Here is a 25,607-nt window from a genome sequence, read left to right as displayed (position 1 = left end):
AATCCCCAAATTTCTTATCAGATAGACTGGGTGGTTTTTATATAGGCAGGACTCAACCAGGAAAAGTCATATGTGTGGGGGGGGTGTGTGTATATATATATATCACACAGCTATATTTGTATATAGAGAGAAAGTATATACACATATAGATGTCAATACACACATATATGTATATGATTTAATATACTATGCTATGCTATGATGTTTATTACATATATTTATATCATATAGATACATATTTGACTTAAATAATATATAAAGAGGTTGTGACATGCTGTCTACTCTGTCATCATCCTCTCTTTTTTTTTCACACTGACTGTGCTTTGTAGTGTGACAATGCTTTGCAGGACTCAAAGGAGTTCTGTACATTGATGCTGAGAAATACAGATCTGAGTACTCAACATAGCTCCAAATAAAACAGCCAGAATTCCACATACAGTTACTAAAATAACCCTGTGATAGGAGCTGTCTTGAACCTATTTTACTCATCTTGTAGTCTTTTAGTGAGGCTGTTAATAATGGTGACTTATATATCCACTGACCTGATGACCTATTAGACAGGGGGGGAAAATTATTCTCCATAGACATTAAAACAATAAACATTTAAATTTAGAAGAAAGGATAAAAACCGGTCGCTTCTCTAGGGAAATGGTATCAGCAAGAACTCTGATCTGTGCTTCAAGTCACTGAAAAGCGATTATGGTACATGCTACCATAAAAAACAAATTCTTCTGAAAACTCTCTCTTCTGTAAATTTTTTTTTGACACCATACTCTTCTATATCTTCTCCTACCCCTCATATGACCTGTTCTCAGTCTAGCAGGCTCCTTCCTCTGCCCATTCTAAAATTGTTAGACTTAACTGTATCTTTTTTTTAAAATTTTATCACTTCATACATTCTCACATAACTTTATCCTGTCTAGGAGGTTAATTACTACTCATACTAATAGCTCTTAAATTTTGAGGTCCAGTCAATAATTTTCACAGGAAATTCAGATCTGTATTTTCAAATGCTTACTATCCTTTTACACTTGAATATATTATGAGCACCTCTGTCTGAAATATCTAAATTTAAACTCATCTCTCCCACTCGAAACCTGCTTCTTTTCTCACAATTTCTCTCTGTAAATGGAACCACTGATCATTGAATTGCCAAGTCATAACTGAGGCATCCATGTGTACTTCTCTAACCTTATCCAATCCATCAATTCAGACAATTATAACTCTTTAATATTTCTGAAATGCATCTAATTCTATCATTTCTCTTCCTACAACTGTAGCTCTGGTCATCATTATCTTTCATTTGGATCACTATGTGTTAATTTTTATCATCTAGCTCCCCACTAAGTCACTCCACTCATTGGAATAGTCTTCTAAATTGTAAATATACTGAGGCCACACTCCTGCCTAAAATACCTCAACGACTCTCCAGGACCCTCCAGATAATATCTAAGATCTTTCCTCTTATGCTTCCTCATCATGACCTGACCCCTGACGATTTGCCTGGTCTTAGCTTTTGGCCTTCTCCTTAGCGCTGACTTTCCCTTGTGAACTCTAGTAATATTAAATCTCTTGCCTTACCTTGAAAGCACATTCTGACACCATTCTTTGTCTCTGAAACTGTATATATTACCTTCTCTCTGGAAACATTTTTTCCTCTTTGCTTCTTTGTGTGTATTGCTCTTAACTCATTTTTCAGGTAATAATTTAGATACAACTTTAACTGGAAAGTCTCTTCATCTATGTTGAGCCCCAAATCTCCAATTTTTATTTACTCCATCTGTGTTTCCATAGCACCAGTACTTCCCTTATAATTATTCTTTTGTTTTGTTTTGTTTTGTTTTTGAGATGAAGTCTCACTCTATTGCCCAGGCTGGAGTGCAGTGGCATGATCTTGGCTCACTGCAACCTCCACCTGCGAGTCTTCTGCCTCAGCCTCCTGAGTAGCTGGGACTACAGGTGTGCACCCCCATGCCTTGCTAATTTTTGTAGAAACAGGGTTTCACCATGTTGGCCAGGCTTGTCTTGAACTCCTAACCTCAGGTAATAACCCAGCTCAGCCTCCCAGAAGCGCTGGGATTACAGGCGTGAGCCTCCATGCCCTGGGCCCCCTTATAAATTATTCTTATCAACATGCACTACAATTGACTTACCACTTATCTGCCTTCCCCACTGGACTGTTGATTCCATGAAGACTGGGCATATTGCAACATTATTCACCATTATATCTCCAGCACCTAGCATAATGTAGTACATAGTAGGCACTAAAAAAAATTGTTCATTTCCAAATGTTTCTATTATTCCTTATTTACACATAATGGCAGATTTTTACGTTTTATATAAAACATCACCAACATATCCTTATTTTAACCACTGTTCCTCTTTTATCTGATTAGCAAAATGAAATTTTGGCTAAGATTTGATGTAAACAATCACAAAATAAAATTTGTAGTGTTTTCCAGCTAAGAAAAGCTTGTGTATCAGGGTTTTGTCTCTTACTATGCTAAGAATAATATATTCTCTTTTTAGTTACCCTCATCCCTTTTCTTTCTGTACTTTATAGTATACCCACTTGAGTATCTGAGTCCCCTATAGATAGAGTTGACAATTTTTTAATCTTTTCAAATCTTAAAGTGTGCAGCACAGCAGCTTGTATCTACCTTGATCTTAATAAATATTTGTTCAATTTAACTGATGTTTAACACAAAATGGGGGAACTATAAGCCTGAGCTTTCATTTGAGAAGGTACTTAGAGTGAGTCTCCAATTTGACCCTCCAGATATATTCTCACCTTGCCCTGTGTGCGGATAGGTTGACTTTGATGGACTGCATCAAGAAGCTTCCTTGCAACCTGGCTTCTGGTTGGATTGGCAAATAAGAGGCCATGGCAGAAGATCAGAGGCAAGAAAAATAGTAAGATAAATATTTCTATTTCCCTGGATCCTTTCTTGCCGGGATACCACTCACTAAGTTCCAGTAAATACTTCTCCTCTGATTGCTTCAATTCTAAGGGCCCTACTAGTGGCTTACTGTTATAAGCATACACACATCTAGGATATTATACTCTTCATTATTTCCTTAATTACACCCATGTCTTTTTTAATAGAACCTTTATTAGATTCTTCTCAAATTAGTCTTAGTATGATATCTTTTCCTGCCCAAGCCATAATTAATAAATAGCCTTCCCCTATATTCTCTGACATCCCATTCTCAATCTCCAAGAGTATTTGTCCATTTTCACACTGCTATGAAGAAATACCTGAGACTGGGTAATTTATAAAGAAAAATAGGTTTAATGGACTCACAGTTCCACATGACTGGGAAGGCCTCACAATCATGGGAGAAGACAAAGGAGGAGCAAAGGCACATGGCAGCAGGCAAAGGGCATGTGCAGGGGAACGCTTCTTTATAAAACCGTCAGACCTCATGAGACTTATTCACTATCACAAGAACAGCAAGAGAAAAACCCACCCTATGATTCAATTAACTCCCATTGGGTCCCTTCCATGACACATGGGGATTATGGGAGCTACAATTCAAGATGCGATTTTGTGGGGACAGAACCAAACATATCACCAGGTAAATACTGAGCTAACTTGGTCACTGGGGCCTATCAGTGAAAAATTTGGGGCAGTTATCAAGAAGTTTTCACGCTCCTGATAAAGACATACCCAAGACTGGGCAACTTACAAAAGAAATAGAGAGGTTTAAAAAGAAAGAGGTTTAATTGGACTTAAAGTTCCATGTGGCTGGGGGAGCCTCACAATCAAGGTGGAAGGCAAGGAGGAGCAAGTCCCATCTTACATGGAAGGCAGCAGGCAAAGAGAGAATGAGGAAGACACAAAAGCAGAAACCCCTGATAAAACCATTAGATCCCATGGGACGTACTCACTACCATGAGAACAGTATGGGGGAAACTGCCCCTATGATTCAGTCATCTCCCACCAGGTCCCTCCCACAACATGTGGGAATTATGGGAATACAATTCAAGATGATATCTGAGTGGGGACAGAGGCAAATCATATCATTCCACCCCTAGCCACTGCCAAATCTCATATCCTCACATTGCAAAACCATCTATACCTTCCCAACAGTCCCCCAAAGTCTTAACTCGTTTCATCATTAACCCAAAAGTCCACAGTCCAATGTCTCATCTGAGACAAGGCAAGTCCCTTCTGCCTATGAGCCTGTAAAGTGAAATGCAAGCTATTTATTTCCTAGATAAAATAGGGGTACAGACATCAGGTAAATACAACTATTCCAAATGGGAGAAATTGGCCAAAACAAAATGGCTACAGGGCCGATGCAAGTCTGATATCCACTGGGGCAGTCAAATCTTAAAGCTCCAAAATGATCTCCTTTGACTCCATCTCTCACATCCAGGTCACACTGATGCAAGAGGTGAGTTCCCATGGTCTTGGGCAGCTCCACCCCTGTGGTTTTGCAGGGTAAGCCTTCTTTCTGGCTGCTTTCACAGGCTGGCATTGAGTGTCTGTGCCTTTCCAGATGCACAATGCAAGCTGTTGGTGGAACCACCATTCTGGGGTATAGAGGAGAGTGACCCCCTTCTCACAGCTCCACTAGGCAGTGCCCTAGTAAGGACTCTGTGTGGGTGCTCCAACGCCACATTTCCCTTCCACACTGCCCTAGCAGAGGTTCTCCATGACAGCCCTGCCCCTGCAGCAAACTTCTGCCTGGGTATCCAGGCATTTCCATCTTCTGAAATCTAGGGGGAAGTTCCCAAACCTCAATTCTTGACTTCTCTGTACCCACAGGTTCAACACCATGTAGAAGCTGCCAAGGCTTAGGGCTTGCACCATCTGAAGCCACAGCCCAAGATCTACACTGGCCCCTTTCATGCACAACAGGAGGAGCTGGGACGCAGGGCACCAAGTCCCTATTCTGCACACAGCTCAGGATATTCTCAGTCCAGCACACAAAACCACTTTTTCCTCCTAGGCCTCCAGGCCTGTGATGGGAGGGGCTGCCACGAAGAATTCTGACATGCCCTGGAGACATTTTCCCTATTGTCTTGGGGCTTAACATTTGGCTCCTCATTACTTAAGCAAATTTCTGCAGCTGGCTTGAATTTCTCCTCAGAAAATGGGATTTTCTTTTCTATCACATTGCCAGGCTGCAAATTTTTCAAACTTTTATGCTCTGTTTCCATTTTAAAACTAAATGCTTTAAACAGCACCCAAATCACCTCTTGAATGCTTTGCTGCTTAGAAACTTCTTCTGTCAGATACCCTAAATCATCTCTCTCAAGTTCAAAGGTCCACAAATCTCTAGGACAGGAGCAAAATGCCACCAGTCTCTTTGCTAAAACATAGCAAGAGTCACCTTTGCTCCAGTTCCCAACAAGTTCCTCATCTACATCTGAGACCAGCTCAGCCTAGACTTTATTGTCCATATTGCTATCAGCATTTTGGGCAAAGCCATTCAACAATTCTCTAGGAATTTCCAAACGCTTCCACATTTTCCCTTCTTCTTCTGAGCCCTCCAAATGGTTCCAACCTCTGCCTGTTACCTAGTTCCAAAGTCGCTTCCACATTTTCAGGTATCTTTTCAGCAACGCCCCTCTCTAGTGGTGTCAATTTACTCTATTAGTCCATTTTCATGCTGCTGATAAAGACATACCAGAGACTGGAAAATTTACAAAACAAAGAAGTTTTATTGGACTTACAGTTCCACATGGCTGGGGAAGCCTCACAATCAGGGCAGAAGGCAAGGAGGAGCAACCCCCATCTAACATGGATGGCAGCAGGCAAAGAGAAAATGAGGAAGATGCAAAAGTAGAAACCTCTGACAAAACCATCAGATCTCATGAGACTTATTCACTAACACTAGAACACTATGGGGGATTAAAACCCCCATGATTCAATCATCTCCCACCAGGTCCCTCACACAACATGGGGAAATTACAGGAGTACAATTCAAGATGAGATTTGAGCGGGGACACAGAGCCAAACCACATCAAGTAAAATGCCTATTTAGAAATCCTTTGTATACCTTTATTATGGAGCCAACAGTACACACAATTACTTGTTGGTGCAAATTTGGAATAACCTCTTTGTGCTCCAAGCAGAGTAACATGGAAAGAAAACACTACTATTTGCTACATTTTGCAAACTTTTAAGTAGTCCATTATTTTGCTAAATTAATCATTACCATCTTTTACAATCTTCTGTAGTTTAACTTCTAAGGCTAGTTGACTTCTTACAGTTGATGTTATAGGTCCATTTTAAACTTCCTCTTAGTTCTCTTTAAAAGTTGGATAACTGTAAATCTCATATTTTCCTCAATTGATTTATCAGCAGAGTACAAGTCTTTATCACCATTTTTTTCTTTTTTATTTATTTATTTTAATTATACTTTAAGTTCTGTGATACCTGTGCAGAATGTGCTGGTTTGTTTCATACGTATATATGTGCCATGGTGGTTTGCTGCACCCTTCAACCTGTCATCTACATTGGGTATTTCCCCTAATGCTATCCCTCTCCTTGACCCCCACCCACCGACTGGCCCCAGCATATGACGTTCCCCTCCCTGTGCCCATATGTTCTCATGGTTCGACTCCCACTTATGAGTGAGAACATGTAGTGTTTGGTTTTATGTTCCTATGTTAGTTTGCTGAGAATGATAATTTCTAGCTTTATCCATGTCCCTGCAAAGGACATGAGCTCATTCTTTTTTATGGCTGCATAGTATTCCATGGTGTATATGTTCCAAGTTTTCTTTATCCAGTCTTTAATTGATGGGCATTTGGGTTGGTTCCAAGTCTTTGCTATTGTGAATAGTGCTACAATAAACATACATGTGCATATGCCTTCATAGTATAATGATTTATGATCTAATTAAACTAAAGATCTTCTGCACAGCAAAAGAAACAATCATTTGAGTGAACAGGCAGACTACAGAATGGGAGAAAATTGTTGCAATCTATCCATCTGACAAAGAGCTATTATCCAGAATCTACAAGGAACTTAAACAAATTTAGAAGATTATAAAAAACCCATCCCATCAAAAAGTGGGTGAAGGATATTAACAGACACTTTTCCAAAGAAGACATTTATGTGGCCAACAAACATATAAAAAAAGCTCACCATCGCTGGGCCTTAGAGAAATGCTAACCAAAACCAAAATGAGATACCAGCTCATGCCAGTTAGAATGGCAAATATTAAAAAGTCTGGAAACAACAGATGCTGGAGAGGATGTGGAAAAATAGGAATGCTTTTACACTGTTGCTAGGAGTGTAAATTAGTTCAACCATTGTGGAAGACAGTGCTGGCGATTCCTCAAAGACCTAGAACTAGAAATACCATTTGACCCACCAATCCCATTACTGGGTATGTCACCATTTTTAAGAATGAAAACTAGACAATATTAATTTTGTGGATGTGTCTCACCTGTGTCAAAATGAAGTCTGAACTAGGTCATTCAACCTTCCTAATTTGTTTTTTTTATTTATAATTACAACTGAGATGAAAAATGTACAGTGCCTAATATAATGCTTGGCATATGAGCACAAAGTAATCTCACCCTCACCTCTGCATTCTAGCCACACTGACCCTATGTTATAGCCTTTAATGCTTCATGCGCCTTACTCCTCACCAGGCTTTGGTACATGTTATTCTTGAATACTCATAAAATCTTCTTCCAGAAAAGCTGTTCTGATTCCCAGGATCATTTTTGTTTTCTGGTTTATATTTCATACATCTGTGTATATTTCCTTTATAACACTTGATTCATTTATTTGTGCATTCAATAATTATGGAGTTACTATGTTTTTGGATCAGGTTTTAAGGATAAGACAATGAATAATATAAGACAATGAATCTTTCTCATTATTTAGTTCATAGCCTCATATCTATAATTTTTCATTAGAGTTTAGAGTTATATACAGTTGTTTTATAAGTAGTCTAGTCTTTCTGTTCATTTAACCCAAACAATAAATCAATAATGGGCTATACAAATCTCAGGTCAAAATTAAGTATTATAATTCATACTCTCTCTTTACTTCTTGCAAACAGCAAATTATTGGGGGGATTCTTCCCTTGTCAAATTCCTCCCAGTTATTCCTGTACAATCATTATGATTTTATCATGCTTGTAAAATCGGAGATTCTCTATTTGTTGTAAACTCAATAGAGGTAAATTAGAGCTTACTTAAGTCAAAGGAGTTTCAGTAAAATCCAAATGCAGGAATATAGCCAGGCCTAGAAGCCAAGCACTGGCCAGTTGGTCAGTTGTCACATCTGTTCCCGCTTTTATCTGTTTCTTTTAAAAATCATCTCTCTCTCTCTCTCTCTCTCTTTCTCTCTCTCTCTCTCTCTCTCTCTCTCCCCCTCCCTCCCTCTCCTTCTCTCCCCCATCCCAGACTACTTTGATGTATGAATTTATTTTTGCTTATGGTACATAAGATGTCTTGGGCAAGATACGGCTGCCCATGACAGCAATACATAAAATTTGTATGTCATTATTTGAATCATATAAAACTTAATTTGCTATCTCTTAGTTCCAATTCCAAAATCCAGGGAGAGAGCTTATCAGCCAGCAATTTTTTTCAGGCTATCATTAATTTATGATTCAGTTTATTGAGTTTGACAATCTGCATGTTTAAAAAAGAAAATAAAATAGAAAAATCAGAGTATAAGGCACATAGAATATGTTAAATATATGGGTGTGTATTCAAGGTACCAAATAAAAATGTACTGTGAGTCTCAGTGAAAAAGCTTGAAAAATGCTCTTAGGACCAGTTTGGAGATGTTTATGTCTACCTAGGGGAATCATGATAGTTTATTCAAAAAAGAAACAGAAGTGTGTTATAAATATGGCTATGAAAGTGAACCTCTGGGTAGAGGGTATGGTAGAGTTCTTACAGAAGAGGAACCTCACATGTGGATAGTGCAGAAATCCTGAATCATCCATTGCTTCTGCTCACCACCTGCATTTAAACCTTGCCTTCATAGACCACCCTCTGTGTGACCTTAGGCTGGCAATTAACTCTCTGAACCTTAGAATGATTATATTTTAAATGGAATCTTAATAAAGTTTGTGGGTTTTTTTTTTGTCTTTCTTGCAGATTTATTATGTGGACTAAATGAGATAGCCCATACTCTTAGCAAACTGTAGTTAACGGTTTAAAAAGAGTCTTTTACAATATTATATTAGTCCTCATTACTATTCATCATTACTGTAATATTATTCCTACTGACAAATTATATTTACTCCATTTTTCCTCTTCATATGAGGCTCTGTCCTGTTGCCATTAGTAATGAAGCTCCTGTGCTGACACTCAGAAGCTGCAATTGTATACTAAAAACATTAATGCCATCCAGAACCTGAAATACTATCAAAGTTTTCTCTAGGGATTGGATGAAGTCCACTAACTACATTAATTTCATACGCCAATACTAATTCTTCAAGAACTTCAGGTGTTCTTCCCCCAGTATGGTGCTACTCTGATGACTAATAATGGTGACTAATAATGAACCCTTGTTCTTCTAAAGTGTTAGAGGTTGCACAAAGACATCCCTATACTGGTTTGTGCTTACTTTGACAAACCATTCTTTCCCTAGGCATGCTTTCCCTATACATTGGTACTGTATATCTTTAGATTCAGATACTTTTAACTTCTAACATTTGTTGGAGCAAAATTCATTTGAATGGAGTTTATTCTTGATGTTTGTTACCCAGAGAGTTCCTTTTCATCAAATAAATAGAAAATTTTTTCTTATAGCTTCAGGATATATCCAAGCCTAACTGTATACGAGAGAGAACATTATACCCAACATAAGGTCCTCAAATAGAGATTCTTCATTTCTAAAGCAACAATCAGTTCTGCTTTTCCTGTTTTTTTCCCCATCTTTGTGGTTTTATGTAACTTTGGTCTCTGATGATGGTGATGTACAGATGGGTCTTTGGTGTGGATGTCCTTTCTGTTTTCTAGTTTTCCTTCTAACAGTCAGGACCCTCAGCTGCACGTCTGTTGGAGTTTGCTGGAGGTCCACTCCAGACCCTATTTGCCTGGGTATCAGCAGCGGAAGCTGCAGAAGAGCAAATATTGCTGAACAGCAAATGTTGCTGCCTGATCATTCCTCTGGAAGTTTCCTCTCAGAGGGGTACCCAGCCTCGTGAGGTGTCAATCTGCCCCTACTGGGGGATGCCTCCCAGTTAGGCTACTCGGGGGTCAGGGACCCACTTGAGGAGGCAGTCTGTCCGTTTTCAGATCTCAAACTCTGTGCTGGGAGAACCACTACTCTCTTCAAAGCTGTCAGACAGGGACATTTAAGTCCGCAGAGGTTTCTGCTGCCATTTGTTCTGCTATGCCCTGCCCCTAGAGATGGAGTCTACAGAGGCAGGCAGGCCTCCTTGCGCTGCGGTGGGCTCTATGCAGTTCGAGCTTCCCAGCCGCTTTGTTTACCTATCAAGCCTCAGCAATGGTGGGCACCCCTCCCCCAGCCTCACTGCCACCTTGCAGTTCCATCTCAGACTGCTGTGCTAGCAATGAGCGAGGCTCCGTGGGCATGGGACCCTCCGAGCCAGGCACAGGAAATAATCTCCTGGTGTGCCGTTTGCTAAGACCACTGGAAAAGCACAGTATTAGGGTGGGAATGACCCGAATTTCCAGGTGCCATCTGTCACAGCTTTGCTTGGCTACGAAAGGGAATTCCCTGACCCCTTGCACTTCCCAGGTGAGGCGATGCCTCACCCTGCTTCAGCTCACGCTCGGTGCGATGCAGCCACTGTCCTGTAGCCACTGTCTGACAAGCCCCAGTGAGATGAACCCGGTACCTCAGTTGGAAATGCAGAAATCACCCATCTTCTGCGTCGTTCACGCTGGAAGCTGTAGACTGGAGCTGTTCCTATTCTGCCATCTTTCACAGAACAGAAAAACTGAGAATTCTAAAAATCAGAGCACCTCTCTTCCTCCAAAGGAACACAACTCCTCACCAGCAATGGAACAAAGCTGGACGGAGAATGACTTTGAGATGAGAGAAGAAGGCTTCAGACGATCAAACTTCTCCAAGCTAAAGCAGGAAGTTCAAACCCATTGCAAAGAAGTAAAAAACCTTGAAAAAAGATTAGATGAATGGCTAACTAGAATAACTAATGCAGAGAAGTCCTTAAAGGACCTGATGGAGCTGAAAACCTTGGCATGAGAACTACGTGATGAATGCACAAGCTTCAGTAGCCGATTCAATCAACTGGAAGAAAGGGTATCAGTGATGGAAGATCAAATGAATGAAATGAAGTGAGAAGAGAAGTTTAGAGAGAAAAGAATAGAAAGAAATGAACAAAGCCTCAAAGAAATATGGGACTATGTGAAAAGACCAAATCTACGTCTGATTGGTGTACCTGAAAGTGATGGGGAAAACGGAACCAAGTTGGGAAACACACTGCAGGATATTATCCAGGAGAACCTACCCAACAGAGCAAGGTAGGCCAACATTCAGATTCAGGAAACACAGAGAACACCACAAAGATACTACTCAAGAAGAGCAACTCCAAGATACATAATTGTCAGATTCACCAAAGTTGAAATGAAGGAAAAAATCTTAAGGGCAGCCAGAGAGAAAGGTCGGGTTACCCACAAAGGGAAGCCCATCAGACTAACAGCTGATCTCTCAGCAGAAACTCTACAAGCTAGAAGAGAGTGGGGGCCAATATTCAACATTCTTAAAGAAAATAATTTTCAACCCAGAATTTCATATCCAGCCAATCTAAGCTTCATAAGTGAAGGAGAAATAAAATACTTTACAGACAAGCAAATTCTGAGAGATTTTCTCACCACCAGGCTTGCCCTAAAAGAGCTCCTGAAGGAAGCACTAAACTTGGAAAGGAACAACCACTGCAAGAACATGCCAAATTGTAAAGACCATCAAGGCTAGGAAGAAACTGCATCAACTAATGAGCAAAATAACCAGCTAACATCATAATGGCAGGATCAAATTCACACATAACAATATTAACCTTAAATGTAAAGGGGCTAAATGCTCCAATTAAAAGACACAGACTGGCAAATTGGATAAAGAGTCAAGACCCATCAGTGTGCTGTATTCAGGAAACCCATCTCCCATGCAGAGACACACATAGGCACAAAATAAAGGGATGGAGGAAGATCTACCAAGCAAATGGAAAACAAAAAAAGGCAGGGGATGCAATCCTAGTGTCTGATAAAACAGACTTTAAACCAACAAAGATCAAAAGAGACCAAGAAGACCATTACTTAATGGTAAAGGGATCAATTCAACAAGAAAAGCTATCTATTCTAAACATATATGCACCCAATACAGGAGCACCCAAGGATATCCAGGAATTGAATTCAACTCTGCACCAAGTGGACCTAATAGACATCTACAAAAGTCTCCACCCCAAATCAACAGAATATACATTCTTCTCAGCACCACATCGCACTTATTCCATAATTGACCACATAGTTGGAAGTAAAGCAATCATCAGCAAATGTAAAATAACAGAAATTATAATAATCTGTCCCACAGACCACAGTGCAATCAAACTAGAACTCAGGATTAAGAAACTCACTCAAAACCACTCAACTACATGGAAACTGAACAACCTGCTCCTGAATGACTACTGGGTACATAACGAAATAAAGGCAGAAATAAAGATGTTCTTTGAAACCAATGAGAACAGAGATACAACATACCAGAATCTCTGGGACACATTCAAAGCAGTGTGTAGAGGGAAATTTACAGCACTAAATGCCCACAAGAGAAAGCAGGAAAGATCTAAAATTGACACCCTAACATCACAATTAAAAGAACTAGAGAAGCAAGAGCAAACACATTCAAAAGCTAGCAGAAGGCAAGAAATAACTAAGATCACAGCAGAACTGAAGGAGACAGAGACACAAAAAACCCTTCAAAAATCAATGAATCCAGGAGCTGTTTTTTTGAAAAGATCAACAAAATTGATAGACTGCTAGCAAGACTAATAAAGAAGAGAGAAGAATCAAATAGATGCAATAAAAGATGATAAAGGGGGTATCAGCACCAATCCCACAGAAATACAAACTACCATCAGAGAATACTATGAACACCTCTATGCAAATAAACTAGAAAATCTAGAAGAAATGGATAAATTCCTGGACGCATACACCCTCCCAAGACTAAACCAGGAAGAAGTTGAATCTCTGAATAGACCAATAACAGGCTCTGAAATTGAGGTAATTATTACTAGCTTACCAACCAAAAAAAGTCCAGGACCAGACGGATTCACAGCTGAATTCTACCAGAGGTACAAGGAGGAACTGGTACCATTCCTTCTGAAACTATTCCAATCAATAGAAAAAGAGGGAATCCTCCCTAACTCATTTTATGAGGCCAGCATCATCAGGATACCAAAGCCTGGCAGAGACACAAACAAAAAAGATAATTTTAGACCAATATCCCTGATGAACATTGATGGAAAAATCCTCAATAAAATACTGGCAAACTGAATCCAGCAACACATCAAAAAGCTTATCCACCATGATCAAGTGGGCTTCATCCCTAGGAGGCAAGGTTGGTTCAACATATGCAAACCAATAAATGTAATCCAGCATAAAACAGAACCAAAGACAAAAACCACATGATTATCTCAATAGACGCAGAAAAGGCCTTTGACAAAATTCAACAGCCCTTCATGCTAAAAACTCTCAATAAATTAAGTATTGATGGGACGTATCTCAAAATAATAAGAGCTATTTATGACAAACCCACAGCCAATATCATACTGAATGGGCAAAAACTGGAATCATTCCCTTTGAAAACTGGCACAAGATAGGGATGCCCTCTCTCACCACTCCTATTCAACATAGTGTTGGAAGTTCTGGCCAGGGCAATTAGGCAGGAGAAGGAAATAAAGGGTATTCAATTAGGAAATGAGGAAGTCAAATTGCCCCTGTTTGCAGATGACATGATTGTATATCTAGAAAACCTCATCGTCTCAGCGCAAAATCTCCTGAAGCTGATAAGCAACTTCAGCAAAATCTCAGAATACAAAATCAATGTGCAAAAATCACAAGCATTCTTATACACCAATAACAGACAAACAGAGAGCCAAATCATGAGTGAACTCCCATTCACAATTGCTTCAAAGAGAATAACATACCTAGGAATCCAACTTACAAGGGACGTGAAGGACCTCTTCAAGGAGAACTACAAACCACTGCTCAAGGAAATAAAAGAGGACACAAACAAATGGAAGAACATTCCAAGCTCATGGATAGGAAGAATCAATATTGTGAAAATGGTCATACTGCCCAAGGTAATTCATAGATTCAATGCCATCTCCATCAAGCTACCACTGACTTTCTTCACAGAATTGGAAAAAACTACTTTAAAGTGCATATGGAACCAAAAAAGAGCCTGCATCACCAAGTCAATCCTAAGCCAAAAGAACAAAGCTGGAGGCATCATGCTACCTGACTTCAAACTATACTACAAGGCTACAGTAACCAAAACAGCATGGTACTGGTACCAAAACAGAGATATAGACCAATGGAATAGAACAGAGCCCTCAGAAATAATACCACACATCTACAACCATCTGATCTTTGACAAACCTGACAAAAACAAGAAATGGGGAAAGGATTCCCTATTTAACAAATGGTGCTGGGAAAACTGGCTAGCCATATGTAGAAAGCTGAAACTGGATCCCTTACTTACACCTTTATACAAAAATTAATTCAAGATGGATTAAAGACTTAAATGTTAGACCTAAAACCATAAAAACCCTAGAAGAAAACCTAGGCAATACCATTCAGGACATAGGCATGGGCAAGGACTTCATGTGTAAAACACCAAAAGCAATGGCAACAAAAGCCAAAATTGACAAATGGGATCTAATTGAACTAAAGAGCTTCTGCACAGCAAAAGAAACTACCATCAGAGTGAACAGGCAACCTACAGAATGGGAGAAAATTTTTGCAATCTACTCATCTGACAAAGGGCTAATATCCAGAATCTACAAAGAACCCAAGCAAATTTACAAGAAGAAAACAAACAACCCCATCAAAAAGTGGGCAAAGTATATGAACAGATACTTCTCAAAAGAAGACATTTATGCAGCCAACAGACTGCATAAATGTGTCTACATGAAAAAATGCTCATCATCACTGGCCATCAGAGAAATGCAAATCATAACCACGAGATATCATCTCACACCAGTTAGAATGGCAATCATCAAAAAGTCAGGAAACAACAGGTGCTGGAGAGGATGTGGAGAAATAGGAACACTCTTACACAGTTGGTGGGACTGTAAACTAGTTCAACCATTGTGGAAGACAATGTGGCGATTCCTCAGGGATCTAGGACTAGAAATACCATTTGACCCAGCCATCCCATTACTGGGTATATACCCAAAGGAATATAAATCATGCTGCTATAAAGACACATGCACACCTATGTTTATTGTGGCACTACTCACAATAGCAAAGACTTGGAACCAACCCAAATGTCCATCAATGATAGACTGGATTAAGAAAATGTGGCACATATACACCATGGAATACTATGCAGCCATAAAATTGATGATTTCACGTCCTTTGTAGGGACATGGATGAAGCTGGAAACCATCATTCTCAGCAAAGTATCGCAAGGACAAAAAACCAAACACTGCATGTTCTCACTCATAGGTGGGAATTGAACAATGAGAACACTTGGACACAGGAAGGGGAACATCACACACCAGGGCCTGTTGTGGGGTGGGGGTAGTGGGGAGGCATAGCATTAGAAGATATACCTAATGTCAATGACGAGTTAATGGGTGCAGCACACCAACATGGCACATATATACTTACGTAACAAACCTGCACATTGTGTACATGTACCCTAGAACTTAAAGTATAATAAAAAAAAAGGAAAAGAAAAACAAAAGACAAGAAATAAATAAATAAATAAATAAAGCAACAATCAAGAGCTAACAGGGGAACCTTTATAAGTGGACAACTGTGTGGTCACACAGAGCCCTGAAATCAGAAGGCCTTTGCACTTGGTTTAGCGTTCTGCTGTTACCACCTTGAAATTCTTAATGATTTGATCTTCGAACTTGAATTTTGAAAATGAAGTCCAGCGAGACAATGGAGCAGTGAAGTTTGACACAATATCTATGCCCCCTTTTCCTGGCCACCTCATTTGCATATAGATGCCTCTCAAGAACAGAAGTTCATTGGACCGAAAATGTATGGGAGTTCAATGCAACCCACATAAGTATAAGAAAAACCCTTTAAATGTACAACCTGAGTAAGCAGGATTGCTGGACGTCCTATAAGGCCATATTTTTCATTTGAACCAGACCTTGCTTCAATATTTCAATGGCACTCTAAGAAGCAAAAGCAACCAAGGAATTACATCATAATTTTTTTTTATTTCCAGACAGGGTCTTGCTCTGTCACCCAGTCTAGAGTACAGTCGTATGATCTCAGCTCACTGCAACCTCCACCTCCTGGGTTCAAGGGATTCTCCCACTTCAGCCTCCCACGTAGCTGGAACTTTAGGCACACACCACCATGCTTGGCTAATTTTTTTTTTTTTTTTTTTTTTTTTTTGTAGAGACAGAGCGTTGCCATGTTGCGCCGGCTGGTCTCGAACTCCTGAGCTCAAGTGATCTGCCCACCTCAGCCTCCCAAAGTCCTGGGGAGTACAGGCATGAGCTGCCACACCCAGCACTTTTCTTTTATTTTCCCTTCCTTTTCTTTTATCTTCTTTCCTTTCCTATTCTTTTTGTTAACTTTTACTTTAAGTTTGGGGGTACATGTGAAGGTTTGTTTCATAGGTAAACACCTGTAATGGGGGTTTGTTTTACATATTATTTCATCACCCAGGTATTAAGCCCACTACCCAGTAGTTATTTTTTCTGCTTCTATCTCTCTTCTCACCTTCTCCCTTCAAGTAGACACCAGTGTCTGTTGTTTCCCTCTTTGTGTTTGTAAGTTCTTATCATTTAGCTCTGACTTACAAGTGAGAACATGCAGTATTTGGTTTTCTGTTCCTGCATTAGCTTGTTAAGGATAATAACCTCCAGCTCCATCCTGGTTCCCACAAAAGACACGATCTCATTCTTTTTTTATGGCTGCATAGAATTCCATTGTGTATATGTAGCACATTTTCTTTATCCAATCTGTCATTGATGGGGATTTAGATTGATTCCATGTCTTCGCTATTGTGAATAGTGCTGCAAAAAAAAAAAAAAAAAAAAAAAAATCATGTGCATGTGTTTTTATGGTAGTATTATTTATATGCCTCTGGGTATATACTCAATAATGGGATTTCTAGGTCAAATATAGTAGTTCTAGTTTTACATTTTTTTTTTTTTAGACAGTCTGGCTCTCACACAGGCTGGAGTGCAGTGGCACGGACTTGGCTCACTGCAACCTCTGCTTCCCAGGTTCAAGACATTCTCCTGCCTCCGCCTCCTGAATAGCTGAGACTATAGGTGTACACCACCATGCCCAGCTAGTTTTTGTATTTTCAGTAGAGATGCGGTTTCACCATGTTGGCCAGGCTGCTCTCGAACTCCTGACCTCAAGTGATCTGCCTAACTCGGCCTCCCAAAGTGCTGGGATTACAGGCATGAACCACTTGGCCTGCTTTTAGCTCTGTGAGGAACCATCATACTGCTTTTCACAATGGTTGAACTAATTGACACTCCCACCAATAGTGTATATATGTTCTCTTTTCTCTGCAACCTCACCAGCATCTGTTATTTTTTTGACATTTTAATAATAGCCATTCTGACTGGTGTGAGATGCTATCTCATTGTGGTTTTGAATTGCATTTCTGTAATGATCAGTGATAATGAGCTTTTTTTCATATGCTTGTAGGCCAAATGTATGTCCTCATTCGAGAAGCATCTGTTCTTGTCCTTTGCCTGCTTTTTAATGGGGATGTTTTTCTTGTAAATTTGTTTAAATTCCTTATAGATGCTGGATATTAGACCTTTTTCAGATGTATAGTTTACAAATATTTTCTCCCATTCTGTAAGTTGTCTGTTTATTCTATAGTAGTTTATTTTGGTGTGCAGAAGCTCTTAAGTTTAATTAGATTCCACTTGTCAATTTTTGCTTTTGATGCTATTGGTTTTGGTGTCTTTGTCATGAAATCTTTGCCCTTTTCTATGTCCAGGATGGTATTGCCTAGGTTGCCTTCCAGGGTTTTTATAATTTGGGGTTTTATATTTAAATCTTTAATCCATCTTGAGTTGATTTTTCTATATGGTGAAAGGAAGGGGTCCAGCTTCAATCTTCTGCATATGGCTAGCCAGTTATCCTAGCATCATTTATTGAATAGGGAGTTTATTTCTCATTTCTTGTTTTTGTCAGCTTTGTTGAAGATCAGACGGTTGTAGATATGTGGCCTTATTTCTGGCCTCTCTATTCTGTTCCATTGGTCTATGTGCCTGCTTTTGTACCAGTACCACGCTGTTTTGGTATGATAGCCCTGTAGTATAGTTTGAAGTCTGGTAACGTGATGCTTCCAGCTATGTTCTTTTTGATTGCCTTGGCTATTCAGGCTCATTTTTGGTTCCATATCAGTGTTAAAATACTTTTTTCTGGTTCTTTGAAGAATGTCATTGGTAGTCTGATAGGAATAATATTGAATCTGTAAGTTGCTTTGGCCATTTAAATAATATTGATTCTTCTTATGCATTAACGTGGGATGTTTTTCCATTTGATTGTTTCTTCTCCTATTCCTTTGAGAAGTGTTTTTATAATTCTCATTGTAGAGGTCTTTCACCTCTTTGGTTATCTGTATTCCTAGGTATTTTATTCTTTTTGGGGCAATTGTTAATGGGATTTCCTTTCTGATTTGGGTTTCAGTTTGGCTGTTTTTTGGTGTGTAACAATGCTAGTGATTTTTGTACATTGATTATGTACCCTCTTTACTTTTCTGGTAGTAAAAAAAAAACTAAAATAAGATGTACCCTCCTAGTATATTTTGTGTATAATACAGTATTGTTAACTATAATATTGTACAAAAAGCTACCAGAATATGTATAATTATGTAATTGAAACTGTATATTCCATTCCATTCTTTGATCCTATAGATTTGACTAATTTAGGTAGCTCATATAAATAGAATCATGCAGTATTCGTCTTTTTGTGGCTAACATTTCATTTGTGTAGTGTCCTTAAGCTTCATTCATGTTGTTATATATTGCAGAACTTTTTTTCTTTTTTAAAATGGAGTTGTATTCCATTACTTCCTCAAACAAGCCCACAATTTATGATGAAAATGATAAAATAAAAAAAAGAAAAATATGGTACAACTCATAGTTCCTTTTCCTTTCAGTCTTTCTTTACTCATTAGCAAGCCAAAGATAGTGTTGGTATATATACTTGTATCAAGAAGTACAATTTTTTTAAAAGTTGAGTTAAATTTGTGCAGTGTTTCTACTATTCTGGTTGGAACAAAAATACATATGTATGTATGAACTACAAATATGTAAAAATTATGTAATTTCAGGAATTCCACATAAAAGCTATGCTCTTACAATTGCATTTAGTATGGGCATTGCACAAAATTAAAATGAATTGTAAAACTTATAATAGTTTAAAATTTTAATGTTTTTTTAGAATGACATTAAACAGCTAATAATAAGCACAACCATAATTGAGAATGAGACCACAGAAGAAAAAGCTTTATATTTTAGTACAAGCAAAATAACTTTTTTTCTGCTTTTTGGACAGGGAAACCCATGTTTTCATTTTGCACTGGCCTCAGAAATTATGTAGCTAGACTTAAGAATCGGATGAATTAACTGAGAATTCTGATGCAGGAAATGTGGGCAATTTCTTTACCCTCAGCTTCTTTTCCTAAAATTCCTCTAAAACAACATAGCATTTTACATTTCTGGACCATTGTGTTTCTTGGGAGGACTTACTTAAAGAGAACAATTGTTTATTATTTAAATGTTTATGTAGCTCCTTTATTGACATGGGAGAAAGGAAGCATCACTGTATTTCTCCACATTTCCAGTTTGTTTTGTTTCCTTCCCACTGGACTCTGCCCCCATGCTTCACACTAAGATTTCATGGGTGATGACAAGTCAGATGGCATTTCTCACCCGTGCTCCATTGGGTATCCTAGCAGTTTAGATCACCTCCACTGCAGACAAAGCTGCTAGAAACACATGCAAAACTCAGTTCCCCTCAGAGTTATTCTGAGAACCCTAATTCATTTGAGAAGTGGAGGGGTGGCAAAGAACTTCAGCCTACACTCCAACTTACAAAGCAGATAATAACACTGACTTTTTTCCTCTGATGTTGAATCAGAGGAAAAGGCAGTCAGAAACACCATTTTAGCATAGATGGTCAGAATATGCCAACCCTCACATGTCCCAGGCAATGCCATTTTCCACTTGATAGCGACAGTTTTCCTGAGGTGTGGTTAGAGGTGCAATGAGTGAAACACAATGTGTGGAACTGCAAGGAAGGGAATAGGAATGTTGATATTGAACCAAATGATGAGATGAAGAAGCCCCACAAGGAGGAAACATATGGACATGCATATGCATGGTGATTTGGATCAGGAGCACATGTGGCTAGATGACACCATGGTAATGCTAGGGGATAGCAGTCAGAATCAGTCTTAAAAGCTGCTTACTCTCTACTGAGTGCCTTCCCATCATGGGAAGATAGTTCTCAATTATATTAAAATGGATTTCTTCACTCTCTTGCAGGCTAGGGAATATCTCTATCTGAATATGAGTACAAATTAAAAGTACCTTGCTTTGCACTTGTTTTTTCATTGAAGAAATTGAGTTTTTCAATTATATTTTAAAATACACATACATATTGGATATTGATTGATCTTTTCCATCTGCATTCTTTCTGGTTGAGCAATTCCTCACACATGTCCTTAAAAATCTTTTTAGATGATGATGATGATGATGATGTTGATGATAATGCAATAGCATGTCTGTTTCATCTGTCTAGTATGACATCATCTCATTGAAAATCTGCAGGAGCATACTAGTATTATTTGAACCCTAATCATGAGGAGATCACATATGTCTCAGTATAGTGTAGCACTGTTTGTGCTATAGGTGAGAAGCAAGGCCTCTGTTAATAAATGTTATCTTGATGCTGTTTATCCAATTAGTTTTGTTTCATGTGGAACTGGAAACTATAGTGAGGTTTAACTAAATATTCTTTAGAGAGGAGAAAATTTGGTGACAATAATTATAGTAGAGGTCATTTGCCAAGAAGTTGAAGATGCTGTTGTATACCTGATATTAGAGACATTTCCTTCTAGAAAATGTATCACAGTAGATATAGTTTAAAACATCAGTCTCTATTTACAGCTTTAGAATATTCCTCTTTAACACAGTGCATATAAAAATCGACTCATCCAGGCAATTTGTTTTTCAGAAAAGTTGCCAAGTTAGATGAAAAACCAAATGAAATTTTAAGATTGAGAAATTGTATTATTATTATTCTATTTAAAAATTCAAAATATTCGTTGCTTGTTTCTCATTTGCAGAATAGTTCTTTTGTGTACTGTGTTGTGATTGTGATCTCTCTGGGCTAATACGGGTATTGTTGCTCTCTCCATATCAACCTAATCCCTATTACACTATTGTTCCTAAAATGAAGAATGTGCATCTTCCAATGTGATTTAAACAATTTGGCATCCAACAAAAGCTCATAAGCAGAGAAGGTGCCAAATTAATTTTCATTTAACAAATATTGGAGCAGCATAATTTTTCAAAGTGCTTTTTGAGGTGCCAGAAATACACAAAATAGAAACATTTCTTCTCTCATAGAACTTACAGTCTAGTGAGGTTATGCAGGCAGTAAAAATATGAACCAAGAAGTGGACAAGGTTATTTCAGATTAGAGTTTTGAAGAAAATAACACGAGATGATCCATAGTGGGGTCACTATATGTGGGGCTTCTTTAGGCAGTGACAAAAATCCTCTCAAGAAAGTCACACTTGAGTTGAAACTCAACAAATGATAAAGAAGCCAGACCGTGGAATTTGGGGGGATGCATTTCACACAGAGGGAGTAGCAAGCATAAAGAACTCTGAAAGGAAATCACCATAGAGTGCTTGAAGTTCCAAATAAAGTTCAGTGTAGCTAAAGCACAGTGGGCAACACATAAAGAAGTAAGTGGAAGCCAAAGAGGAGAAACCATATAGCAGGAGTCAGATAACAGGGTGACAGTAATGCATGTCGACATCTTCTATGATATATACTATTTTGACAGGTTTTATATCTATATGTGCTTTAACTTAAATTCATCCTTTGGTTTCTTGAGGAGAAACCCATGCCTGCCTCATTCTAATAAAATTCAGGTATCAGCTAGCTTGCTCTATTCTTTGATATTTAAAAGAGTTTGGCTTAAAATATTCAACAGCAGGTAGTGGGAAAACCAATAGCTGTCCCAATTATTTCAAAGATTTATTTGTGAGAATGAGGCATACACACTAAATTAGTTTAATTTGTACATTAATTAATTGAATTAGAAATTTTGAGTATTTATCAGAGCAAGGAATTAAGAAAGAAAATATTCCCCATAATTCCCATGTGATAAAATTAGAAATGAAACTTAAAACTAGAGTTCAAACTTAATGCTGCAGGGACTGGATATTGGGAAGAGGGTAGACATAAATATTAGCCTTAATGACTATGATTACATGTAAACAGGAAGTATGGTCTTAGGTCTAGGTGATGTAACAGAACTGAAACGGATACCATTACAAAATGCCATATATACAAATTCTAGAAGTTTTTCCCATTAGTAAAAAAGAGATTATAAAGATTATAAAGACTCTTTTCATTGGCTCAAGAGAAACATTATCATTGCTAGTTTTTTGACTGGAAAAAAAAGTTTAAGATGGGAAATCAAAGTTTTACCCCATATCCAATATAGGTATGAATCCAAATGTATACAACCCACATGATTCAAGAAGAGATTTTGCATTTATTTAAAAATGATCTAAGACTGAGGAAATAATGAGGGCACTGGGCAAAGGACAAAACAGAGCTTTAACCCCAATCTCCCTACCAAGAGCACATGTATCTTCCATAGAAATATTTTTAAAAATTGAAATAAACAAACCAATCTCCCTACCAAGAGTACATGGATCTTCCATAGAAAAAAATTTTAAAAATTGAAGTAAACAAACAGAAAAAACCTATCTCTACTGCAGCTGAGCTCACAGCAAATGTGAAGACTACTTACGAAATGACCCCTCAAAAAGGAGAAAAAAAAAACCTAGCAGAATTAGCACTATGGATATGTTTAGAATGAAAAGAAAATAACTTTGTCATAATTAAAGACCTAAAGAAAGCAGTAAGTAATGCAATGAAAATATAATTCGAAAATTCAAACAAGTTGGGATTTGGAAAATGTCCAAATAAGACTTCTATAAATGAAAAAGGTAATTCTTGAAAAATGATAAAACAAACACAATAGATACAGTTAACAATTTTTTTAAAAATGAAGTGAGCCTGAGGAAGTTAAACAGAAAGTAACCTAAAAAAATATGATAGATGAAAATACAAAAACCTGTGAGATGCTTCCAAAATAGTAAATTCCTAGTCATTTACTGCACCAGGGAAATAGTCAATGAAGTAAAGGGAGGGGAGGAAATGTAACTGCTTATCAAAGAGGTTTAACCTTGTCTTCCTTATTTTAGGCTGCTTCTTCCCTCTTGGTTTTAAAGGTACCTGGTTCTTCCAGTTCCTATGACTTTGCGGTTTTGTCTGGTAAAAGTCAGACTCATCCCTGGCTGTTCTCACTTCTGATTTGTAATTTTGCTCCACTGAGGTTTTTAACTTGGTTGTCACTCACCCTTCTGCTTTTTATCTTCCATCTTTTCTTCTCTTATTCATGCTCTTGTATATTCATGACTTCAAAGGATTGTCACTAAAAAGAAAGAAAAAAGGATGTACGACAGAGACTTTACAAAAATTGGTGTCTTGTTATAGCAAGGAACAAGAAGACAAAATAGTAAAGATGTCAATTATCTTCAAGTTAAACAATAAATATAATTCCAATCAATATCCGAAAATGATTTTTCATAGAAATTGACAATTTGAGCTTAAAATCTCATTATAAAGTAAAGAGAAAGACAATTTTTTTAAAAAAAGGAAGTAGACTTATCCTACAAGGTATAAAGACACTGTAACGTTAAATTATTGAATTGTGTTTTCAACTTGTAGATAATAAAAAGTAGACCTTTGGAACAAAGTTGTGAGCCTGGATATAGATATATTCATATACAGCCAGTCTCTGAGCAATGGGAGGATTAGGGAAACTTGTGGAGTTGAAAATTTGCCTATAACTTTTCATGCCCCCAAAACTTAGCCACTAATAGCCTACTATTGACCAGAAGCATTACTTATAACATAAACAGTTGGTTAACACATATTGCTTATGTTATATGTCTTATATACTGTATTCTTATAATAAAATGGCCAGAGAAAAGAAAATGTTTTTAAGAAAATCATAAGAGAAAATATATTTATATTAAGTGGAACTAGATTATAAAGGTTTTTATTCTTATTATCTTTACATTGAATACACTGAGGAGGAGGAAGAAAAGGGGTTAGTCTTGCTGCCTCAGAAGGGGCAGAGGTAGAAGAGAGGCAAGAAACACAGCAAATTTTGTGTAATTTACAAAAATACATCATAATTTCTGCCTGAATGTTTTGCTTTTTCATTTCTCTAAAAATGCTTCTATACAGTACCAATTCTTCCACCATTTGCTTTAGCTTCAGTGCTCATATCTTAAAAAGACCAGGTTTTAAAAGAAGTCAAAGCAGTCTTGAGTAATCAGAACTCTTCTGCTAGATTGTCTAATGTGAATTTGCTTTCTGTCACTGCTTCTTCTACATATTCTTCCTCATCATTTGAGGCACTCATCTCCATCAAGCCATCTTCTGTTAATTCCTCTGGTGTGGTATCTCTTAGCTCCTGAATTTCTCCAAGATCCCTATCTTAAAACCCTTCACTCTCCACCTTATTTACCATATCCACAATCTCTCTCATGATTTCCTTGGTTGGCTTTGTTGCAGATCCTACGAAGTCATGCAAAACATCTGGACATAGTTTTCTCCAGCAGAAATTCATTACTTGGGGCTTGACAGTTTTCATGTATTTTTCTATACTGATGGCAATTTCAATGGAGTAATCTTTCCAGACTTTCATGATGTGTTGTCTATCAGGGTTCTCTTTCATAGCATTGATGATCCTTTCCACAGAGTACCATACATAATGATCGTTAGCAGTCTTTATGACTCCTTAATCTACAGGCTGAATTAGAGAGATTGTGTTTGAGGGCAAATAGACCTTTGATGCCTTTGGTATTGAACTCATGGGGTTCTGGGTGATCAGGGGGCATTGTCCAATATCAAAAGAGCACTTCTTGACTACAGGGACAAAGCACGGATGGAACTTATCCAGAATAAAATGTTGTGTTCAGGCATTCTTGTTGTACAACCCAAAGTCTGGAATGGTGTTTATCTTTTCCATTCAAGGCTTGAGGGTTAGCAGTTTTGTAGATAAGGGCAGTCCTGATTATCAATCCAATTGCATTTGTACAAAACCATAGTTAGCCTGCCCCTTCCTCCTTTAAATCCTGCTGCTC

General features: G+C 38.1%; 1 long non-coding RNA gene across 1 annotated transcript in view, besides 1 other annotated feature; it reads right to left on the bottom strand.

The window, feature by feature from the left end:
• The window catches only part of LINC02742 (long intergenic non-protein coding RNA 2742), a 162,086-nt gene that overhangs the window by 2,697 nt on the left and 133,782 nt on the right, over positions 1 to 25,607 (bottom strand). The window contains exons 2-3 of the long non-coding RNA NR_183752.1: positions 23,810 to 23,884; positions 2,154 to 2,237 (exon numbers count right to left, since the gene is read on the bottom strand). This is a non-coding gene — a long non-coding RNA (long intergenic non-protein coding RNA 2742). The remainder of the gene's footprint in view (positions 1 to 2,153; positions 2,238 to 23,809; positions 23,885 to 25,607) is intronic.
• Positions 9,940 to 10,440: an enhancer, noted in NCBI's record as "H3K4me1 hESC enhancer chr11:29072733-29073233 (GRCh37/hg19 assembly coordinates)". NCBI's record gives its function as "activates a minimal SCP1, AML or CMV promoter by ChIP-STARR-seq in naive H9 embryonic stem cells {active_cell/tissue: H9 hESC(naive)}" and the evidence as "EXISTENCE:reporter gene assay evidence [ECO:0000049][PMID:30033119]".

Source organism: Homo sapiens, chromosome 11 (assembly GCF_000001405.40).
Source record: "Homo sapiens chromosome 11, GRCh38.p14 Primary Assembly".
Taxonomy (NCBI): Eukaryota; Metazoa; Chordata; class Mammalia; order Primates; family Hominidae; genus Homo; species Homo sapiens.
This window is presented reverse-complemented; position numbering and strand designations above follow the sequence as displayed.